Raw genomic sequence first — 21,517 nt, 5'->3', positions numbered from 1 at the left:
TTTTTCTACCTGCCTGAAAAAAACTTCTGGTTAATATCTTACTCATTTTTGAGATGACACTTTCTCTACTTCTCACACTGGCAATTTAAAAAAAAAAAAAAAAAGACAGTGAGCAGTATAATATAGGAGAGAGAGAAATGAAAACCATATTGCTTTACTGCTTTCCACTTCTCGGCATTCCATACTTATTTGATCCCAGATGAATTGTAAAATAACAGTTAATGACATTCTGTGGAATCACTATTTCTCAGGATATACTTTGAACATTTTGTCTGGTATGTATGTGTGACTGGTGTCTGTTGATTGATTTTCAAACTAATTCTAAAACTTTAAAAAAATACATAGCTCGATCTTGCTTCTTTGAAATCATGATGTGTACATATGCTATTATCCTTTTTAATGGAAGCTTTCAAAAATAATTTAACTTCTGGTATATTTCTAAACTTTTAAAATAGCTGTAATGAAAATAAGTATATTTTTCTACAAACTTGGTAGGGTGGGGAACTTATTTTCTATGTGTAAAGCAGCTTCTGTTAATTCAGTAAGATTTTTTGTACTATTATTAGATCACTACATTTTATGGTAAAATTTTTGATATATCATGTGTTTTTCTTTCATCCATTTATTTGTTTTGCCAAATTTAATCTTTTCCTCTTTTCTGCTAATGACTTTTTGTATGTGTGAATGTATTTATGTGTGTATATTTGGGTGTGTGTGTGTGTGAGAGAGAGAGAGAGAGAAAGGAAGAGAGTGTGTATGTGAGAGAGAGCCCGCATAATGGCATTTATTTTGCATTGAAATGTTTTGGTTCCAATAGAACCGTTGAAGGAGAGCCTATCTGTATGAATGGGACCAGGAAATTGTCCTCTAGCTTTTATAGGAGAAATGAATGACTACATGGGAGTCACTAAATAGTCTAAGTGGAATGAACATATTAGGTTTTTCATAGCTTTCATCCAATGCCTTTGGTAACTTTTGTGCATTGACTCTCCACCAAAAGGATATGCAATTATTCGTTGATGTTTCTTTCTTTTTTTTTTTTTCTGTCTTAACAATAACAGGAAACTGTGAGATTTAAATTTTGTTGAACAAAGCTAAAAAGGAGCCTACACAATGAGTCAGGAGGCATGCCAAATATTCTAGACTCTGGATTGATAGGTAGCAAAAGCCGTAAGAGAAATAGCTTTTTGCCCAGTGGGGATTATAATTGAGTTTGAAAAGAAGGGAAATGCTGTATTTGCTTTAATTAGAAATCTAAATTGATGCAGTTGAACTTTTTAAAAGGAATTGAGTCAGGAATTTAATATTCTGTTATATTTTTGTTTGAAAAACTCATCTTTGTAATGCTGCTTTTCTCGTCCTTTGCCAAGTATATTCAGTTCTCTAAAACTACATATATACAAAACTAGTTGCAGATTTTTAGTAGTATGTGAAAAAAATCAGAGTTAAATACTTTATAGAAAAAAACAAAATATGTAAGAAATATGGAGATTTAAAAGTTCTACCTCTTTTGGCCTACCTTTGGAACAAAAATATTTGTCTTTGTTTTAGATTATAAGCTTCTGTTTTGCAGATTCTGTTGAAATATCTTTTGGGCTGGCAATTTCCATGGAGAATATTCTAGCATTTGTAATTTTAGCTATTACTCAGTTTTGCTTAGTACCATGCCTATATGATTGATTATGCTTTGTGTTAGTGATCAAAAATAAGTACAATGAAAGATTCTAATGTTTTTTCTCAACACCAATACCCAGTAATTCATCATATATAGAAAATATATTTTTTTACCCCTTAAAAAAACCTTACACTTATGCTTATATGTTAACATCAGTTTGAAGATCCAAATGGTGTTAGATTTCGCTATGAAAAAGGCTGTTTTCAGCCATTAACACTTGGACATAATATAATGATAACAAAAGACACGTAGTTATTACTGTGGCATTTATTGGCTTTGTGATCTGAGTATACTAAACAGAGGGGTATAGTTGATGATTCTGATGTCCAATCAATCTTAAATTTAATGCTTAGAATGCAAGCTGTCTGGCTTAGGTTTTTCATATAATTAGGCCACCAGTCATGTGCTCAGTGGTCATGTGGAAAATAATGAAAGTAGGGAGTGAAGAAGTGGTGCAGAATTTAGTTTTAAAATAACTGTCACCTCTTGTTGGGTTACTGATGTGAGAATAAGTTACTGTAGATTCTTATTGTCCTTTGAAATATTACCTCTCTAATTAATATTTTTATTTCTCCAAAATCTTGAGAGAAATTATTTTTAATTCCTCAGAAATCTTCATAAGAAATTGTCTTTGATCAAGAGTAGAAGTTACTTGAAAACTATTATTCGGCCGGGTATGGTGGCTCACACCTGTAATCCCAGCATTTTGGGAGGCTGAAGTGGATGGATCACCTGAGGTCAGGAGTTCAAGACCAGCCTGGTCAACATGGTGAAACCCCGTCTGTACTAAAAATACAAAAATTAGCTGGGCATGGTGGCACTTGCCTGCAATCCCAGCTACTCGGGAGGCTGAGGCAGGAGAATCGTTTGAACCCAGGAGGCGGAGGTTGCAGTGAGCAGAGATCGCACCACTACACTCCAGCCTGGGTGACAGAGTGAGATTCCATCTCAAAATGAAAAAAAAATAAATAAATAAAAGAAAGAAAGAAAGAAACTATTACTATTCAAGGGCCATAGAAATAGAGTAGAGAACAGATCTTCCCTGAGACCTAAGGTTTCTCACTCCCATGGATCATATCATCCATATGATTGCACTTCCTTTCTCAATTCTATGTCCTAAGACAGAGACACACACCCAGTATTTAAATGTTCCTTTTTGATATACCCTTGCATTTTGACTGATATTTGAGAAAAAAAAAGAAGAAAAAAAAAACAGAAGAAATATAAAGTGATACTATTTATTGAAATTAAAGTAGTTCTAATGTTTTCAAAACTATATTTCGATTAATAGTATTTATAGTATGTGAACTGTATGTTTTACTCAGGCAATCAGGTCTCTGACTTAAACTTATAATTTATATTTAAACTAAATTAATAAAAAGTTACAGAATATGTGCCTATGTACAATAATTTGTTATTAGTCATTTTGTTGTAAGTGTAAATATAAAATATAAAGTTAATGCATATTGTTTTAGTTCATTAAAATCAATTCTTTAGAAGTGGTGTGCTAACAATTCGTATTAAATGCTGAGCGGCAGGCTCAATGAAAATTCCATATCAGAACTCTGGAAATTTATTTTTAAATATTAGAAATTATTTACCATTTTTTAAATTAATTAAACTATTGCAAGTATAACATCTGTCAGGCACAGTGGCTCACGCTTGTACTTCTAGCATTTTGGGAGGCTGAGGCGGGCAGATCACCTGATGTCAGGAGTTCAAGACCAGCCTGGTCAACATGGCGAAACCCAGTCTCTACTAAAAATACAAAAATTCGCTGGGCATGGTGATGTGCGCCTGTAATCCAAGCTATTCGGGAGACTGAGACAGAAGAATTGTTGCACCCAGGAGGCGGTGGTTGCAGTGAGCCAAGATTGCACCACTGCACTCCAGCCGGGGCAACAGAGCAAGACTCTGCCTCAAAAAAATAAAAAAGTATAACATCTGTTTCAACTTGTTGGAGACACTTCTAAAGTTTTAATCTAATTTCCTCTATTACCAAGTAAATTGTATTGACAAAAATGTCTCATAACACTTAGTAGCATATATGGCTTTAGGATTTTCATTCTGAACATTATTAGATTAAAAGTTTTAAATCAAGTGTAGAATCTGTTTCTATTTTAATCTTCTTGGTAATTAGTTTCTGAATCCCAACTACAAAAAAGAGTCAGGAAATCCAATATATTACCTAATTTCAATTAATCACAGTTTTGCTATATAAGGATCACACAGGTATGTCTGTCAGCCATTATATCTGTGTATCAGGATGTTAGATAGCTTATACAAATATTTCTAGCTGCTTCTTAAAATTGTCCATAGATGATGGGTTGCTGGAATACTTTGTAAATCTCTGTTAGAAGTTCTTCAGATGAAGTTAGTGCTGTTGGAATTAGCATACACTCAGTCCTATAATGAGTTCTACTTCAGGAAGCAGATCGTTAGGGACAACTGTCCAGTTTCTCAGTGTGGTGTTTGTAATCTCCAAAACACAAGATTCTTGATACAAACAGACTCTGAGCAGTAATAACTGGCTATTAGGAAATCACAGAGGCACAAGAAACTACCTCCAGAAATAATAAAGCTCTTTATGGACTCAGAACTCTGATTATTTGGTTAGTTTCTTTTGAGGAAATGTTCATGTTCGTTGTGTGAAGAGACCACCAAACAGGCTTTGTGTGAGCAACAAGGCTGTTTGTTTCACCTGGGTGCAGGCGGGCTGAGTCCGAAAAGAGAGTCAGTGAAGGGAGATACAGGTGGGTCTGTTTTATAAGATTTGGGTAGGTAAAGGAAAATTACAGTCAAAGGGGGGTTGTTCTCTGGTGGGCAGATGTGGGGGTCACAAGGTGCTCAGTAGGGGAGTTTTTGAGCCAGGATGGGCCAGGAGAAGGAATTTCAGAAGATAATGTCATCAGTTAAGGCAGGAACAGGCCATTTTCACTTCTTTTGTGGTGGAATGTCATCAGTTAAGGCGGGAACCGGCCATCTGGATGTGTAAGTGCAGGTCACAGGGGATATGATAGCTTAGCTTGGGCTCAGAGGCCTGACATTCCTGTCTTCTTATATTAATAAGAAAAATAAAATGAAATAGTGGTAAAATGATGGGACAGCGAAAATTTTTGGGGGTGGTATGGAGAGAGAATGGGAGATGTTTCTCAGGGCTGCTTCGAGAGGGATTAGGGGCGGTGTGGGAACCTAGAGTAGGAGGAATTAAGCTGAAGGAAGATTTTGTGGTAAGGGGTGATATTGTGGGGTTGTTAGAAGAAACATTTGTCATTTAGAATTATTGGTCATGGCCTGGATACAGTTTTGAATGAATTGAAAAACTAAACGGAATAAGAGAAGGAGAAAAACAGATATTAAAGGCCTAAGAATTGGGAGGACCCAGGACATCTAATTAGAGAGTGCCTAAGGAGATTCAGCATAGTCCCGCCAGCAAAGATTATTTATTTACTTTAAGAGTTAAGAGTGGCAGTTTGGGGATAGCACCACGATATATCAGCTGTGATGGCTTGGAGAAACAGTGTAAATCGGCAGTGTAAGCAAGAGCAGGGCATGTATGAGTAGTTGAGAATGGTGAACAGGAGTACGACTAGACAGAAGATAGTAGGGATGACAAGTTTTTTGGGGCACAGTCCAAGTTGGTCTGGTGCCTGGAATGAGACTGGGGCCTAATAAAAAGGAGCGTCCATACAGGAGCTCAAATGGGCTGTACCCTGTAGCATTCCGAGGACAGGCCTGAATCTGAGAAGGGAAAGTGGTAAAAGTATTGTCCAGTCCTTTTTAAGTTGCTGGCTGAGCTTGGGGAGGTGTGTTTTTAAAACATCATTAGTCCGTTCTACCTTTCCTGAAGACTGAGGACCGTAAGGGATATAAAGGTTTCACTGAATACTAAAAGCCTGAAAAAATGCTTTGCTGATTTGACTAATAAAGGCCGGTCTGCTATCGGACTGTATAGAGGTGGGAAGGCTAAACCGAGGAATTATATCTGACAGAAGGGAAGAAATGACCGTGATGGCCTTCTCAGACCCTGTAGGAAAGGCCTCTACCCATCCAGTGAAAGTGTCTACCTAGACTAAGAGGTATTTTAGTTTTCTGACTCAGGGCATGTGAGTAAAGTCAATTTGCCAGGCCTGGGCAGGGGCAAATCCCCGAGCTTGATGTGTAGGAAAGGGAGAAGACCTGAACAATCCCTGAGGGGTAGTAGAATAGCAGATGGAATATTGAGAATTGATTGCCTTGAGGATAGATTTCCAGGATGGAAAGGAAATGAGATGTTCTAAGAGACGGGCTAGCGGCTTGTAACCTACATGGAAGAGGTTATGAAATGAAGACAGAATAGAATGGGCCTGTGAGGCTGAAAGGAGATATTTTCCTTGGTCTAAGAACCATTTGCCTTGTGTGGGAAGAGATTGATAGGTGGAAGTTTCAGCAGGGGAATAGGTGGGAGTGACCGATGTGAAGGAGAAAAACTGGCCTTGAGGGACAGAAGCTGGAAAGCTAGCTGCTTGTCTAGCCACCTTATCAGCATAAGCATTGCCTAGAGCAATGGGATCTGACACCTTTTGATGGCCTTTGCAGTGAATGACTCCAGCTTCCTTTGGAAGTGAAGCGGCCTTGAGCAGAGTTTTTGTTAAAGAGGCATTAATGATGGAGGACCTTTGAGTAGTGAGGAAGCCTCTTTCAGCGCATATAACAGCATGGTGGTACAGAATATGAAAGGCATATTTAGAATCAGTATAAATATTGACGCGTAGTCCTTTTGCGAGAGTGAGGGCTTGAGTTAAGGCAACTAGTTCACCTTGCTGAGAGGTAGTGGATGGGGGCAGAGGGGTAGCCTCAATGATAGATGTGGAAGATACTACAGCATAGCCTGCTTTTGCTGGTGAGAGGCAATTAGGCCTGGTGGAACTGCCATCAATAAACCAAGTGTGATCAGGGTGAGGAACAGGAAAGAAGGAAATATGGGGAAATGGAGTGAATTTCAGGTGTGTCAGAGAGACGCAGTCATGGGGGTCAGGTGTGGTATCAGGAATAATGAGGGAGGCCGGATTGAAGTCCGGGCCAGGAACAATGGTAATTGTGGGAGACTCAACAAAGAGTGAGTACAGCTGAAGGAGCCGGGGAGCAGAAAGTATATGTGTCAGGTGTGAGGAAGAAAATAGATTTTGGAAGTTGTGAGAACTGTAAAGAGTGAGTTGAGCATAGTTTGTGATTTTGAGGGTGTCCAAAAGTATTAGGGTGGTGGCAGCCACTGCACGGAGACATGATGGGCAGCCTAAAACAGTAAGGTCAAGTTGTTTGGACAGAAAGGCTACAGGGTGCAGTCCTGGCTCTTGTGTAAGAATTCTGACTGCACTAACCATGCCTAGGAAGGAAAGGAGTTGTTGTTTTGTAAGGGATTGAGGTTTGGGAGATTAGTCAAACACGATCAGCAGGGAGAGCACGTGTGTTTTTATGAGAATTATGCCGAGATAGGTAACAGATGAGGAAGAAATTTGGGCTTGACTGAAGTAACGGGTGCTATCTGTGAAGCCTTGTGGCAGTACAGCCCAGGTAATTTGCTGACCCTGATGGGTGTCAGGGTCAGTCCAAGTGAAAGCGAAGAGAGGCTGGGATGAAGGGTGCAAAGGAATAGTAAAGAAAGCATGTTTGAGATCCAGAACAGAATAATGGATTGTGGAGGGAAGTATTGAGGATAGGAGAGTATATGGGTTTGGCACTATGGGGTGGATAGGCAAAACAATTTGGTTGATAAGGCACAGATCCTGAACTAACTTGTAAGGCTTGTCTGGTTTTAGGACAGGTAAAATGGGGGAACTGTAAGGAGAGTTTATAGGCTTTAAAAGGCCATGCTGTAGCAGGCGAGTGATAACAGGCTTTAATCTTTTTAAAGCGTGCTGCAGGATTGGATATTGGCGTTGAGCAGGGTAAGGGTGATTAGGTTTTAATGAGATGGTAAGGGGTGCATGATCCGTTGCCAAGGAGGGAGTAGAGGTATCTTATACTTGTGGGTTAAGGTGGGGGGATACAAGAGGAGAACGCAAAGGAGGCTTTGGATTGGGAAGAAGGGTGGCAATGAGATGTGGCTGTAGTCTAGGAATAGTCAAGGAAGCAGATAATTTAGTTAAAATATCTCAGCCTAATAAGGGAACTGGGCAGGTGGGGATAACTAAAAAAGAGTGCTTAAAAAAGTATTGTCTAAGTTGGCACCAGAGTTGTGGAGTTTAAAGAGGTTTAGAAGCCTGGCCGTCAATACGCACAACAGTTATGGAGGCAAGGGAAACAGGCCCTTGAAAAGACGGTAGTGTGGAGTGGGTAGCCTCCATATTGATTAAAAGGGGACAGACTTACCCTCCACTGTGACAGTTACTCGAAGCTTGACGTCCGTGATGGTCTAGGGGGCTTCAGAGACGATCAGGCAGTGTCAGTCTTCAGCCACTAAGCCGAGAAGATCTGGGAAGGAGTCAGAGCCTTGGGCCAGAGTTCCAGGGCCTCTGGGAGTGGCTGCCAGGTGAGTTGAACAGTCCGATTTTCAGTGGGGTCCCGCACAGATGGGAAGCGGCTTAGGAGGAATCCCGGGCTGTGGGCATTCCTTGGCCTGGTGGCCAGATTTCTGGCACTTGTAGCAAGCTCCTGGGGGAGGCGGGCCTGGAGGAATACCTGGCCACTGCGGTTTAGGCGTTTGGAATTTCTTGTGTGCTGGAGATGTGGCTGGGGTTTGTCTCGCAGTGGAGGCAAGGAATTGCAACTCAGAAATATGTTGCTACTTGGCTGCCTCTACTCTATTATTGTACACCTTGAAGGCGAGGTTAATTAAGTCCTGTTGTGGGGTTTGAGGGCCAGAATTTAATTTTTGGAGTTTTATTTAATGTTGGGATTGGGTAATAAAATGTATATTGAGAATAAGACGGCTTTTTGACCTTTTAGGGTCTAGGGCTGTAAAGCATCTCAGGGTTGCTGCCAAACAAGCCATGAATTGGGCTGGATTTTTATATTTGATGAAAAAGAGCCTAAACGTTATCTGATTTGGGATAAAGAAAAAGGAGCATTAACCTTGACTATGCCTTTAGCTCCAGCCACCTTTTTAAGAGGAAATTGCTGGGCAGGTGGGGGAGGGCTAGTCACGGCATGAAACTGTAAGCCGGACCCCGTGTGAGGAAGGGAGGTGATAAAAGGATTATAGGGTGGAGGAGCGGAGGCTGAGGAAGAACTGGGACCTAGCTCGGCCTGGCGAGGAGGGGAGAGGACAGATGGGTCTGTAGAAAAGGAAGATTAGAAAGACTCAGTGATGCTTGGGGTTGGGACGGAGGGGGACAGGTGGTGGGGAAAGAAGGAAGATTTGGTACCAGTTGCATTGGGAACAGAGACCAGGGATGGACCGATGTGTAAAAGAATGCCTGGATATCAGGCACCTCAGACCGTTTGCCCATTTTACGACAAGAATTATTTAGATCTTGTAGGATGGAAAAATTGAAAGTGCCGTTTTCTGGCTATTTGGAACTACTGTCGAGTTTGTATTGAGGTCAAGTGGCATTGCAGAAGAAAATAAGACACTTAGATTTTAGGTCAGGTGAGAGTTGAAGAGGTTTTAAGTTCTTAAGAACATAGGCTAAGGGAGAAGAAGGACGAACGGAGGGTGGAAGGTTGCCTATAGTGAAGGAGGCAAGTTTAAAGAGAAGGGTAAAGACACGGAGAAGGGGGGTGGGGAGCAGCCCTGGGCTGCAACGTGGGTGAGCAAGCAGCCAAAGCAGGCGTCCTCGCAATTGACTTGCCACCAAGGGAACGTGGGTGAATGATCAAGGCAGGCGTCCTCGCGGAGATCAGACACCAATGGAACATGGGTGAATAATCAGAGAGGTGTCCTCGCAATGATTAAACACCAAGGGAAGGCTGCCTTCCCGAGTCCGTGACCGGCGCCGGAGTTTTGGGTCCACGGATAAAATGTGTCTCCTTTGTCTCTACGAGAAAATGAAAGGAATTGAAATTAAGAGAAGGGAGAGATTGAAGTGTGGTGCCAAGATTGAAAGGAGAAAGAGGTTGAGGGATAGTGAGGGAGGTTGGAGAAGAGAGTAAAAAGAGGCTGCTTTCCAGATTTGAAATTGGTGAGATGTTTCTTGGGCTGGTTGGTCTGAGGACCTGAGGTGGTAGGTGGATCTTTCTCACAGAGCAAAGAGCAGGAAGACAGGGGATTGATCTCCCAAAGGAGGTCCCCCGATCCGAGTCACGGCACCAAATTTCATGCACGTCCATGTGAAGAGACCACCAAACAGGCTTTGTGTGAGCAACAAGGCTGTTTATTTCACCTGGGTGCAGGCGGGCTGAGTCCGAAAAGAGTCAGCGAAGGAAGATATGGGTGGGGCTGTTTTATAAGATTTGGGTAGGTAAAGGAAAATTACAGTCAAAGAGGGGTTGTTCTCTGGCAGGCAGATGTGGGGGTCACAAGGTGCTCAGTAGGGAAGCTTTTGAGCCAGGATGAGCCAGGAGAAGGAATTTCAGAAGATAATGTCATCAGTTAAGGCAGGAACAGGCCATTTTCACTTCTTTTGTGGTGGAATGTCATCAGTTAAGGCAGGAACCGGCCATCTGGATGTGTAAATGCAGGTCACAGGGGATATGATGGCTTAGCTTGGGCTCAGAGGCCTGAAAGAAATATTTCATTGAGTCAGAAAAAAGAAAATTGATAATTACTGCATACAATATAAGCAAAAATATACATTTTTTCTTTCAGAATTCACCATGTCCATTTTTGTAATGTCCAAGTACAAATAATTACAGCTTAGCTTTTCAAATGATTCTTAATATTGGGAATATGTCATTTCAAAGCCAGGTATTACAAATGAGAAATTGAAGAACTACACACAAGGTTGAATGTCAAGGCACTCTCAAGCCAGCGCCTCCTGTTCTTGGCAGAGGAAGCATCAAGCACTTTAACATTTCAGGATACTGTCAGTGTATCCCACAGCATTGGGCTCAGTTTGTATTATCTGTTTTCTTTAATATTCTACTTGTATAATTAAACTGATTTTGAATTTTTATAAAATTTCTTTATTTAACAAATTAATGAACACCTGAAAATATTAAGCCATTTTATTAGTAACTCCAGGAATCCAAAGAAGTTGAATGTTCCAAATAATAGTGTTGAAAGCTTATTAAGTGCTATGTATTAGCTGTGTGCCTTATGTGGATGATCACATAAGTATAAAATATTATTTAATTCTCACAACAACCCTATGAGAGCTACACTGTTATTATTCCTATTTTATACTTAAGGAAATAAAGCTCAGGGAGTGTGAGTTCTCTCATAGTCACCCAGACAGAAAATGGGTGAACAGGGACGGGTACGGTGGCTCACTCCTGTAATCCCAGCACTTTGGGATGCTGAGGCAGGATCACCAGGTCAGGAGTTCAAGACCAGCCTGCTCAACATGGTGAAACCCCATCTCTACTAAAAATGCAAAAATTAGCCAGGTGTGGTTGTGGGTACCTTTATTCCCAGCTACTCAGGAGGCTGAGGCAGGAGAATCGCTTGAACCCAGGAGGTGGAAGTTGCAGTGAGCAGTGAGCCAAGATCATGCCACTGCACTCCAGCCTGGGCAACAAGAGCAAGACTCTGTCTCGGCGGGGCTGGGGGAAGAAAGTGGGTGAACAGATAATTGAATCAGTGGGATCTGGCTCCAGACTCACACCCAACCATTACTCAATACAGCTTCCTTGATCTATTATAGATTGTAATTAGGCAGAGAAGTAAGACTCAGATACAAATTAATGGAATAGGTAATTTTTATCAGAAAAATATGTATTTCAATAGTCTTAAAATTACTATCTATTGTCACTAACAGTGAGGAGGCATAGGATGGGCAATATAGGGGTACAGTGTCTATAGACATTTGAGAGCAATGATAAACCAATCAAAAATCAGTCTGCTTTTCAATCTCATAAACCTGCCAATGGCAATTCTAAACATAGTCAGTGATAAAAAAAAAACGTCCCTCCAAGACCAGGCCAGGGATTATAATCGAAAATAGAAATCTAGTGGTTGACCATAGAGATAAAAATAAATACAATAAAATAAGCAATGTTATTAAATTCTACTTTAAAATAATTCTAATTTGACACTAGCCTACCAAAACCCAGCTTTTTGTTAAAAATGGAGATTAGTTAAGTGTCAGAGAAGCTCTCTTTATCCTTGACTGAACTTTTCTAAAGGCAGCAACCAGGAAGAACAAAAGAGAATTGACCAATTCAAAACTTCCTCCTGAGCCCTTCAAGGTTATCTAGCAGCATGTTCACGCACTGTTTGAACTATCTGGTGTATTGTGTGATCCACAGCTTACCATCTGTGTCATGCATGATACACTTTTGAAAACATTGTCTTCTTCAATATGGACTGTGACAGCAACACATGTACTCTAAAGGGAATTCCACTCCCTGCAACATTCCAAGATTATCTCAGTTTATATGTTGGCACTGTAAGTTTTTGGAGATGGTCATCTATTAAAAAATGTCTGTAACTTTTCTTCAGTATTGCACTTCATGAATGCTCGTGAATTTTCTATAAGCATGGTGAGGTTTACTGGAAAAGTAGAATTTTCTGTGGCAAATTTAGGCCACAGCTGTATCATGAATCCAGAGACAAATTTAAACATGGCAAGTGACCTTATAGGATTTTTTGTATTTTATTTAAAGGAATGAATAATCATGGTTTACATAAAAATATTTAACTCTCCTTTGAAATTTGAGAAGAATTTTAAATACTTCGTAATTTTAAAAAATTTTTTGGATTAACTTTTTTGGGTCTGGAAAAATTCTTCATATAATTTTGACTGGATAAAAAGATCTATGCCAAATTATCTTTTTTAAGGAAGCCCTCCCCACTCAGTGCTTCTTCCTGATCTCTTTCTTGATTTTAAAATTCAGGTCCTAGTAAATAATTCCACAATGAATATGTTTCAGATTTTGTCAATACAGACTAAAACATGTGAGTCTTCAAAGTCAACCTTCTTTGAGGACAAAAATAGTGTTATTCATTTTGGAACATGGTAGATGTTGAGTAAACATTATTCATTAACAGAATGAATTAATATAAATACAGTTTTAATTTTTAGATTATGTAGTTTCTCTTTCCTGAAAACTTTTCTAGCGATATTAGTGATATTATGTCTTTCAGGGCATAATATTTTATTGATTTTGTATATGTAAGTGGCTCAAGGTTTCTGTTACATTTCTTGATAATGTCTAGATTACTGTATGTATATATTTATTTCACTGTAGGTACATACTAGGAATATTTTTTGGGAATAGATACATTCCTCAAGCTCTAGCTCTATGTGTTACACAAGCTATTTAAGGAACTGTAATAGTGTTTTTAAAAATGATGCCTGCATTGTTTTTATCTAAAGTTCCTCCCAATATAAGCAAAGAGTAAATAATACTGGGGATCTATTAGTAGAGATAATCAATTCTAGAATTATTGTTATAAATTATTCTTTTTAATTTGGATGAATAAATAATTATTAAATAGATTAAAATATGAGTGACTTATAAGAGAACCTCCATTCATTCTAACAATACTTATACTTAGTATGCTTTCAATAACTTTGCCATGCAAAAGTAAAGTTTATTAACACTGTGATTTGCTTCAATGTATTGAAAATTTTTAATTAAAAAAAAGCTTTCCTTTTCTTTCCTTATTTTATGGAACTTGACCACTGAGCTTGTATTGTCCAGATTTTTTGTGGGGGAGATACAGTTAAATGTTGGCACTAAATGCTGTATTGATTGGCACTGAAATTAATGCAAGAAATGAGGGTACTAAAAATTCTAGTTTAGAATAATTAAACCCACAGCAATTACATGGGATTCTATTGGCTAACGGTATGACCATCATCCAAGAGCTACTGGTGTAAGGTGAGAGGTGGTGAGGCCGGCCTTAAATTCCAGAGCTTTTTTCATGCTACTCAATTTTCACAGCTGGAATTTACTGCTTCTTGACATTGCAAAATTATTCATCGACTTGGTTTTGTTTTTTTGGCTCAATGCTGTGACTCGGTAATTTTCAGCATCTTACTGACAGATGGAAAGTGATCACTAACCATCTTGCTGAATTAACATGGAATGCATTTCTAAGCCGCAATAAAAGGCAGGACCGAAAATGTCAAATCCACACATTTCCATCTAGAGTACATATATTCCTATAAAGTTCATTGAATGTTTGTGTAGAAATGGTCAATGGAGGTCATCGGGTTAAAGTAGGGCCACATCTATCATCCCCGATCTAAACAAGAAAACAAATAAACAATTACTGCTCTTTTTATGTCTAGATAAACATCCCCAGGCTCTAATTTAAGCCTGGTTTCTTCTTTTTATCCTTTTCAATAGAAATTTTAAATAACCTAACGTTATCCTTTGTATAAAAATCCTTTGTTTAAGGACTCTCAAATCAAATTCTTTCATCACCTTTTGGCCAAATTATTCCATTTTGTTTCATCTCTCTTCATGGGCTATATTTTCCATTCTGTTAATCAGCTTTCTATCTCTCCCCTGAAACTTTCCCAAGTTATATGCTTTGGTTGTGACCTATGGAAAATAATGCAGCATATTTAGTCATATAATGTGTTAAATATCTCACTGTTCTCCACTGCTGTGTGCCTGCTTTTGTACTATAACATTGTATTTGATTACAAGCAAATAAAACCAGTGTTCACACTGTTGACCCATAGCCAACTTCTATGACACCATCTTATCCCCAGTTTTAGAAACTTCACATACATTCTACCAGATTTTCGGTGTCGTATATTTATGTACTGCTTTCATGTTGCCTTCTTAAAGGATCGAATATCTCTTTTGCTAAGTTCCAGAAAACTGGTTCTATGTATCTTCTATTCTCTAATATGTACCCAGTACCTAGTACAGAATCTGACACCGATAAATATTTGAGGAGTGAAGAAAAGAAATAACATTTTATTTTTTGTGTCCGTACTACCTTCCCTCCTAATCATTTCAATATTCTGTGCTTGATTAGTGTACAAAATTGGCTTGACCTGTAAGAAGGCTTTACTATATAGACCCACTGACATTTCTGTCAAACCTGCACACTGAGTTGCCCCTTCATCCCTTCGTCTGCAGGATGGAAAGGGTGATGTGGCAGGGCACTGGACAGTTTCAGGAGAAGATCCATAAGCTCAAGAGTTACTAGAAGCAGAGCTTGATTCTTGATTTTGAACCTTTAATAATTGGGTAGACTTACTCAGTCCTTCACTGTTTCTTCATTTGCAAATGGGTGTAATAGTTTTGGCCTTAGAAAGCTGATGAGAGGTTAAAAAGAAGTAAAGATATATGTGTACTTAACTTACATTAGACCCTAAAATTATGCTTTGTCTATTTCTTGAGCACTTTTTGCTCAATAATTAGCATTGATATGGACCCAAACACCCATTTTTGCATACTACAATGGAGAGAGAAGGGGACAAATAATAAACTTTTTTAAATAACATGGTATTTTAAGACAAAGAATTATTTTGTGAAATCTTGCATTTCTTGTCAGGAAAGGGGAAAATTACATAATTAGAGTCGGCAAGAAAAAAAATGTATTCAGTATAATAATTAGTGTTAAAGGACATTAGTGACCAGTATAAATCTTCCGGCCAATATTATATAGTTTGCACAAAATCATAGCATCACAATTCTGTATAAGCAGTGTGTTTATGCATTCTTTTAACAACTTTATTGATATATAATTGACATACAGGAAACCACATATTTATTTTTATTTATTTGTTTTTTTGAGACAGAATCTTGCTTTGTTGCCCAGGCTGAGGTGCAGTGGTGCAATCTTGGCTCACTGCAGTCTCTGTCTCCAGGGTTCAAGCGACTCTCCTGCCTCAGCCTCCCGAGTGGATGGACTACAGACACGCACCACCATCCCTGGCTAATTTTTGTATTTTTAGCAGATATGGGATTTCACCATGTTGGCCAGGCTGGTCTTGAATTCCTGACCGGAGGTGATCCACCCACCTTGACCTCTGAAAGTGCTGATATTACAGGTGTGAGACACTGTGCCCAGCCCAGGAAACCACACATATTTAAAATGTACAATTTGATAAGTTTTAAAAGTTGTATATACCCATGAAACCCTCTACACAATCAAGATAACGGACTTATTTATCACCTCTAGAAATTTCCCTCCCACTGCTTCCTGCACCCCTGCCTCCATAGGTAACCACTTAGTTGCTTGAAGTCACTAGATTACTGTGCATTTACATAAAACAAGTCATACAGCATGTATTCATTTTCTCTGGCTTATTTCACTCAATTATTTTGAGATTTCTCCCTGTTGCTGGATCTATCAAATATTAATTCTTTTATATGGCTAAGAAGTATTCTGTTGTGTGGATATACTAATTTTTTATTCATTAACCAATTTATGATCATTTGAGTTTATTTAAGTTGTAGAATATTGCAAATCAAACTGCTATGAGCATTCATGTATTAGTCCTTGTATGGACATATAACTTCTTTACTCTGAAGACAGGATTACATAGTAAGTATATTTTTAACCCTTAAAGAAAATACCAATTATTTTCTAAAGTGGATGTGCAATTTTACATTTCCACTAGCAGTATTTGAGAATTGCAATTCCTACACATCCTTGGGAACAACTCCTTCATTTAAATTTTGGCCATCCTGATGGATGTGTAGTATATCTTAATTCATATTTAATTAATTACTAATGATATTTTACAGCATTTTGTGGGCTTATTTGCTATTTGCACATCTACTTTAGTAAAGAATCTGTTCAAATTCTTTTTTTTTATTGAACTGATTGTTTTTGTGATATTAACCATTGCACTTTTTTTATCTGCATCCAAGTTTTTTTTTCTGCTATAAATTTTACTTTCTATAAATTTCTAAATGCTGATGCTAAATACTGCTTTAGCATCGGCTCATATATTTTCATATGTTGTGTTTTTATTTTCACTCAGTTCTAAACTACTTTCTAACTTTCCTTTTTTTTTTTTTTTTTTCTTTTTTATGACAGAGTCTCACTCTGTCACCCAGGCTGGAGTGCAGTGGCATGATCTCAGCTCACTGCAAGCTCCGCTTCCTGGGTTCAGGTTATTCTCCTGCCTCAGCCACCCAAGTAGTTGGGATTACAGTCATGTGCCACCATGCAGGACTAATTTTTGTAATTTTATTAAAGACAGGGTTTCACCATGTTGGCCATGATGGTCTTGAACTCCTGACCTCAAGTGATCCACTTGCTTTGGCCTCTCAAAGTGCTGGGATTATGGGAATGAGCCACCATGCCTGGCCTAACTTCACTTTTTGTTTATCCTTTGAACCAGGAGTTATTTAGAATATATTGTTTAATTTCCAAATGATTTGGGATATTCCAGCTTTTTGTTTGTCTTAATTTGATTTCATTGGTGATCACAGTATATACTTTGCAAAACCTGAATCCTTTAAAATGTATCAAAGTACTTTTTATTCTCTAGAATTTGGCCTATTTTGATAAGGTTTCCATGTGCATTTGAAAAGTCTTATGATGTTCTTGGGTGGACTGTTCTATACATTTCAATGATAACAAATTAGTTGATAATATTGTTTAAGTCTTCCATATCCTTATGAATTTTTGTGTATGTGTACTTATTCTAACACTTATTATGAGGTTATTACTGAAATATCTGACTATAACTGGGTATTAGTCTATTTCTCTCTTCAGTTCTACCAGTTTTCACTTATCTTTTGAAATTTTGTTGTTAATGCACACATTTTTGGAATTATGTTTCTCTTGATGAACTGATTCATCTATCATTAGGAAATAACCTTTATATCTGGTGATATTCTTTGCTATGATATCTACTTTGATATGATTGTGGCCTCTCCAGGTTTCTTTTGATTATTATTAGCATGGAATACCTATACTCTTTGTGTTTTTGTCCCATATTTGATGCTCAGAAATGTTTCCCTAAATAGCAGTGATGTGAAATAACTTTGGATTGTCAGGCATGTCTGTGTTTTATATTTATTTAGTCCATAGGCAAAGCCAGGTTTGAATGGGTTATTTTAAAATCCAGAGATTTATCTGTGTTAAGAAGTTACTAAGAATGGTGGTTCCTTACACACTATGACAGCAGCCTTCAACCTTTTCGGCACCGGAGACCAGTTTCATGGAAGACAATTTTCATGGACTGTTCTCCAGGGAGGGGTATGGTTTTGGGATGATTCAAGCCACATTACATTTTTCGTGCACTTTATTTCTATTATTATTACATCATAATATATAATGAAGTAAATATACAACTCACCATAATTTAATGAGAGCCCTGAGCTTGTTTTACTGCAACTAGATAATCTCATCTGGGGGTGATGGGAAACACCGACCCCCAAAGTGTGTTGCTTATATCCAGTGTACTCTGTAGTCTCATTTTGGTTGCTGTTACTGCAGAAAATCCTGCTTCACAAATATGGGATGTCTGAAATGGAAGGAGGCTTTTCAGTGCTTTTGTGGCAATCTCAGCATATTCTGCCTTGACTGTAATCCAGAACATATGAAGATTTGAAGCTTTCTCAAACATACTTTTAAGACCACCGTCATTTGTGATCTCAAGTAGTTGATCCTCTTCTAGCAAAGACAAAGTCGATTCAACTGGCTTTTTCACAAATGGGTCACAGATCCACTCCTTCATAATTCAGGGGTCTTTTGTGGTTGGGAAGTAATGTTCAAACTCTTGAAATCTAAGATAGGTGATCATCCACCAAGTGGGAGAAAGAAAGTCCTGGTTCAGTCTCTTTCAAAATCTCTGCGATGTTTGAAACATATCAAAAATCACAATGTTCTCTCCTCACTCCTGTAATTACAGTTTGGCTTTGAATGCAGCCACTTTATCTGCTGATTTGTTCACAGTTGTCATTCTCCCCTGAAGTGATAGATTGAGTTTGCCAAGCAGGTTGAATATGTCACACAACTAGGCAAGTTTTGCATCCCATTCTGTGTCGCTGAAATGTGCTGCCAGTGGTTTTCTAAAAGAAATCTCTGAAGTTGCTCTCATAACTCAAAAACTCTGGCTAGTGATCGACCTTTAGAAACCCATCTTACTTCAGTGAGGAGACGTGTGTGCTCTGTTTCTATCCCCTCACAGAGCTGCGTGAACACATGTGAGTTAAGGGCATGTATTTTACTGCACATGCTGAAGGCATGTAATGTATTGCTGATAATTTTAATCACATTCTGTAAAATGCTGTTAAGTTCAGATGACATTTTTTGGCTAGCCAACATTTCTCTATAGGTGATGTAGTGTGTAGACTCACATTCAGGGGCAACCTCTTTGACCTGAGTAGTGAAACCAGAAAGCCGTGCAGTCATGGCAGCCACTCCATCTGTGCATGTACTGACATAAAATGACCTACTTAATTTTCCTGATATGTAATTATTCAAAGACTTGAATAGTTCTGCAGCTGTGGTGTTGGTTGGCAACAAAAGTGCACATAACATCATCGTGCACATCCTCCTGAAAAATGTATTGCACAAAAACAAGCCTTGTTGCCTTGTTATTAACATCAGTAGACTTATCAACCTGGATTGCATATAATAGTGATTCATTAATCTTCTTTGACAATTGTACCTTAATATCCTCTGCTATTTCAGCAGTTTGTCTTGTTATGGTTTTAGTCAAAAGAGGAAAACATGCCACCTTTTCAACTGCAGCCTTTTCTAAAAGTTCACAGCAAACATCCATAGTAGCAGGCAGGATTAACTCTTCACCAATAGTAAAGGGCTTCTTAGCTTTAGTAATGTGGTTAGCCACTAAGAATGATGCTGTCAGTGCGGACACATTTGATGAAGTGTTAGCCTTCAATAATTGCTTCTGTTCTTCATGTTCATTTTTTATTTTTCTTTTGAAAAACTCCAAAGGCTTGTCTTTTAATGCACGGTGCTTTGTCTCCATGTGGCAAAGCAGTTTTGAAGGTTTCCTGGCTTAGTTGGGAAGCTGGTTGCCACATGTTATACAAAGCGAGTATTTTCTTTTAAATGCAGTTTTCTTTTTGTTGACAGTCCTAGAGTCTTCTGCTGTCTCATCATTGGGTCTTTCCCCTTTTTGAAAGAAGCTCTCAGATGACCTTTGTTTTTAATCAATTTTAGCTTGTGGGTTTTCCAAAACTGTGACTGAAACAAGTGTGCAGTGTGGGCAAGAGGCATGGATGGATGTGGTAAATAAAATAATGGGTGAACCACACATGGACTAAAATAAGTTTTGGATTCTGACTTAAAGTCTGCCACCAGATGCAGCTGTGCAATTGAAGTACATGGATTCACTTGCCACTATAAAGCCTGCCACCAGATGCAGCTTGTTACTTGCCACTCACTGACAGGTTTTTTTTTTTAGACAGAGTTTGGCTGTCTTGCCCAGGCTGGAGTGCAGTGCATGATCACGTCTCAATGCCACCTCCACCTCTCAGGCTCAAGCCATACTCCCACCTCAGCCTCCTAAGTAACTGGGACTGCAGGCATGCATCACCATGCTTGGCTAATTTTTGTATTTTTTTGTAGAGACATGTTTCACCATGTTACCTAGGCTGGTCTCAAATTCCTGAGCTCAAGTGATCTGCCCACCTCAGCCTCCCCAAGTGCTGGGATTACAGGCATGAACCACCACTCCTGGCCTCTGATAGGGTTTTGATATGAGTCTTCAAACAATTGATTTATTATCTGCTAATGTTAATCTGTATTTTCAGCCACTCATCAGCTCTAGTATCATCCTCATCTCCACCTCAAATCATCAGGCATTAGATTATCCTAAGGAATGGTCAACCTAGATCCCTCACATATGCATTTCACGATAGGGTTCACATTGAGAATCTAATGCCACAGCTGATCAGACAGGAGGCAGAGTTCAGGTCGTAACGTGAGCAATGGGTAGCCATTGTGAATACAGATGAAGCTTGGCTAGCTCGCCTGCCACTCGCCTCCTGCTGTGCGGCCTGGTTCCTAACAGGCCACCAATCAGTACTCATCCATGGCCCAGGGGTTGGGGACCCCTGCACTAGGAGACCAATTCAGCCTTGATGCAAATGTATTGCACAGGAATCCATGGCCTCTCGAGGAAAATCAGTGTCTCTGGTGAAAGGCCACTAGCCAAACTTGCATTTGCAACTTCTATAACTGGACCAAGACCAACTATCATCATTTCTTTTCTATGTGCAGCTGCTACTTTAATTCCTTCAAGACTAGAGGGGAGTGTGGCAAAAGACAAGAGAGTTAGGAATGGGTGGGGACTAGAACCAGGGGAAACATGGACACAGGCAGGATGTCTGCTCCTGTTCAGAACTCAGGCCAGGCTTTAAGAAAAAGGCAGAGAAACTATGGTAGGTGAGGAATGGACGCATTCCACTTCCGTTCTTTGGTGAGAATTTACCTCTTCCCCATATATTGGGGGAACCCACCCCCAATATTTCAGTGTAGGTTCTATTTTCCATAAGTGTTGGCTGGCTGAGAAATAAAGAGAGACAGTACAAAGAGAGGCATTTTACAGCTGGGCTGCCAGAGGTGACATCCCATATTGGTAGGACCATGATACCCACCTGAGCCTCAAACCAGCAAGTTTTTATTAAGGGTTTCAAAAGGAGAGGGGGTGTAAGAACAGGGAGTAGGTACAAAGATCACATGCTTCAAAGGGCAAAAAGCAGAACTGCTAATAAGGGTCTAACAAAGATCACGTGCTTCTGAGGAAACAGGACAAAGGGCAAAAGCAGAACTACTGATAAGGGTCCAACAAAGATCACAAGGCAGAGGGCAAAAGCAGAACTACTGATAAGAGTCTATGTTCAGCAGTGCAAGTATTG

The 21,517-nt window shown here is 39.1% G+C and overlaps 1 protein-coding gene across 4 annotated transcripts in view, besides 2 other annotated features; it reads left to right on the top strand.

Moving 5' to 3' along the window:
- Window positions 1–21,517, top strand: part of LRP1B (LDL receptor related protein 1B) — a 1,899,594-nt gene that overhangs the window by 1,694,304 nt on the left and 183,773 nt on the right. The window lies entirely within an intron of this gene.
- Window positions 6,029–6,558: an enhancer, noted in NCBI's record as "NANOG hESC enhancer chr2:141187724-141188253 (GRCh37/hg19 assembly coordinates)". NCBI's record gives its function as "activates a minimal SCP1, AML or CMV promoter by ChIP-STARR-seq in naive H9 embryonic stem cells {active_cell/tissue: H9 hESC(naive)}" and the evidence as "EXISTENCE:reporter gene assay evidence [ECO:0000049][PMID:30033119]".
- Window positions 9,949–10,468: an enhancer, noted in NCBI's record as "NANOG hESC enhancer chr2:141183814-141184333 (GRCh37/hg19 assembly coordinates)". NCBI's record gives its function as "activates a minimal SCP1, AML or CMV promoter by ChIP-STARR-seq in primed H9 embryonic stem cells {active_cell/tissue: H9 hESC(primed)}" and the evidence as "EXISTENCE:reporter gene assay evidence [ECO:0000049][PMID:30033119]".

Source organism: Homo sapiens, chromosome 2 (genome assembly GCF_000001405.40).
Source record: "Homo sapiens chromosome 2, GRCh38.p14 Primary Assembly".
NCBI classification, from domain to species: domain Eukaryota; kingdom Metazoa; phylum Chordata; class Mammalia; order Primates; family Hominidae; genus Homo; species Homo sapiens.
This window is presented reverse-complemented; position numbering and strand designations above follow the sequence as displayed.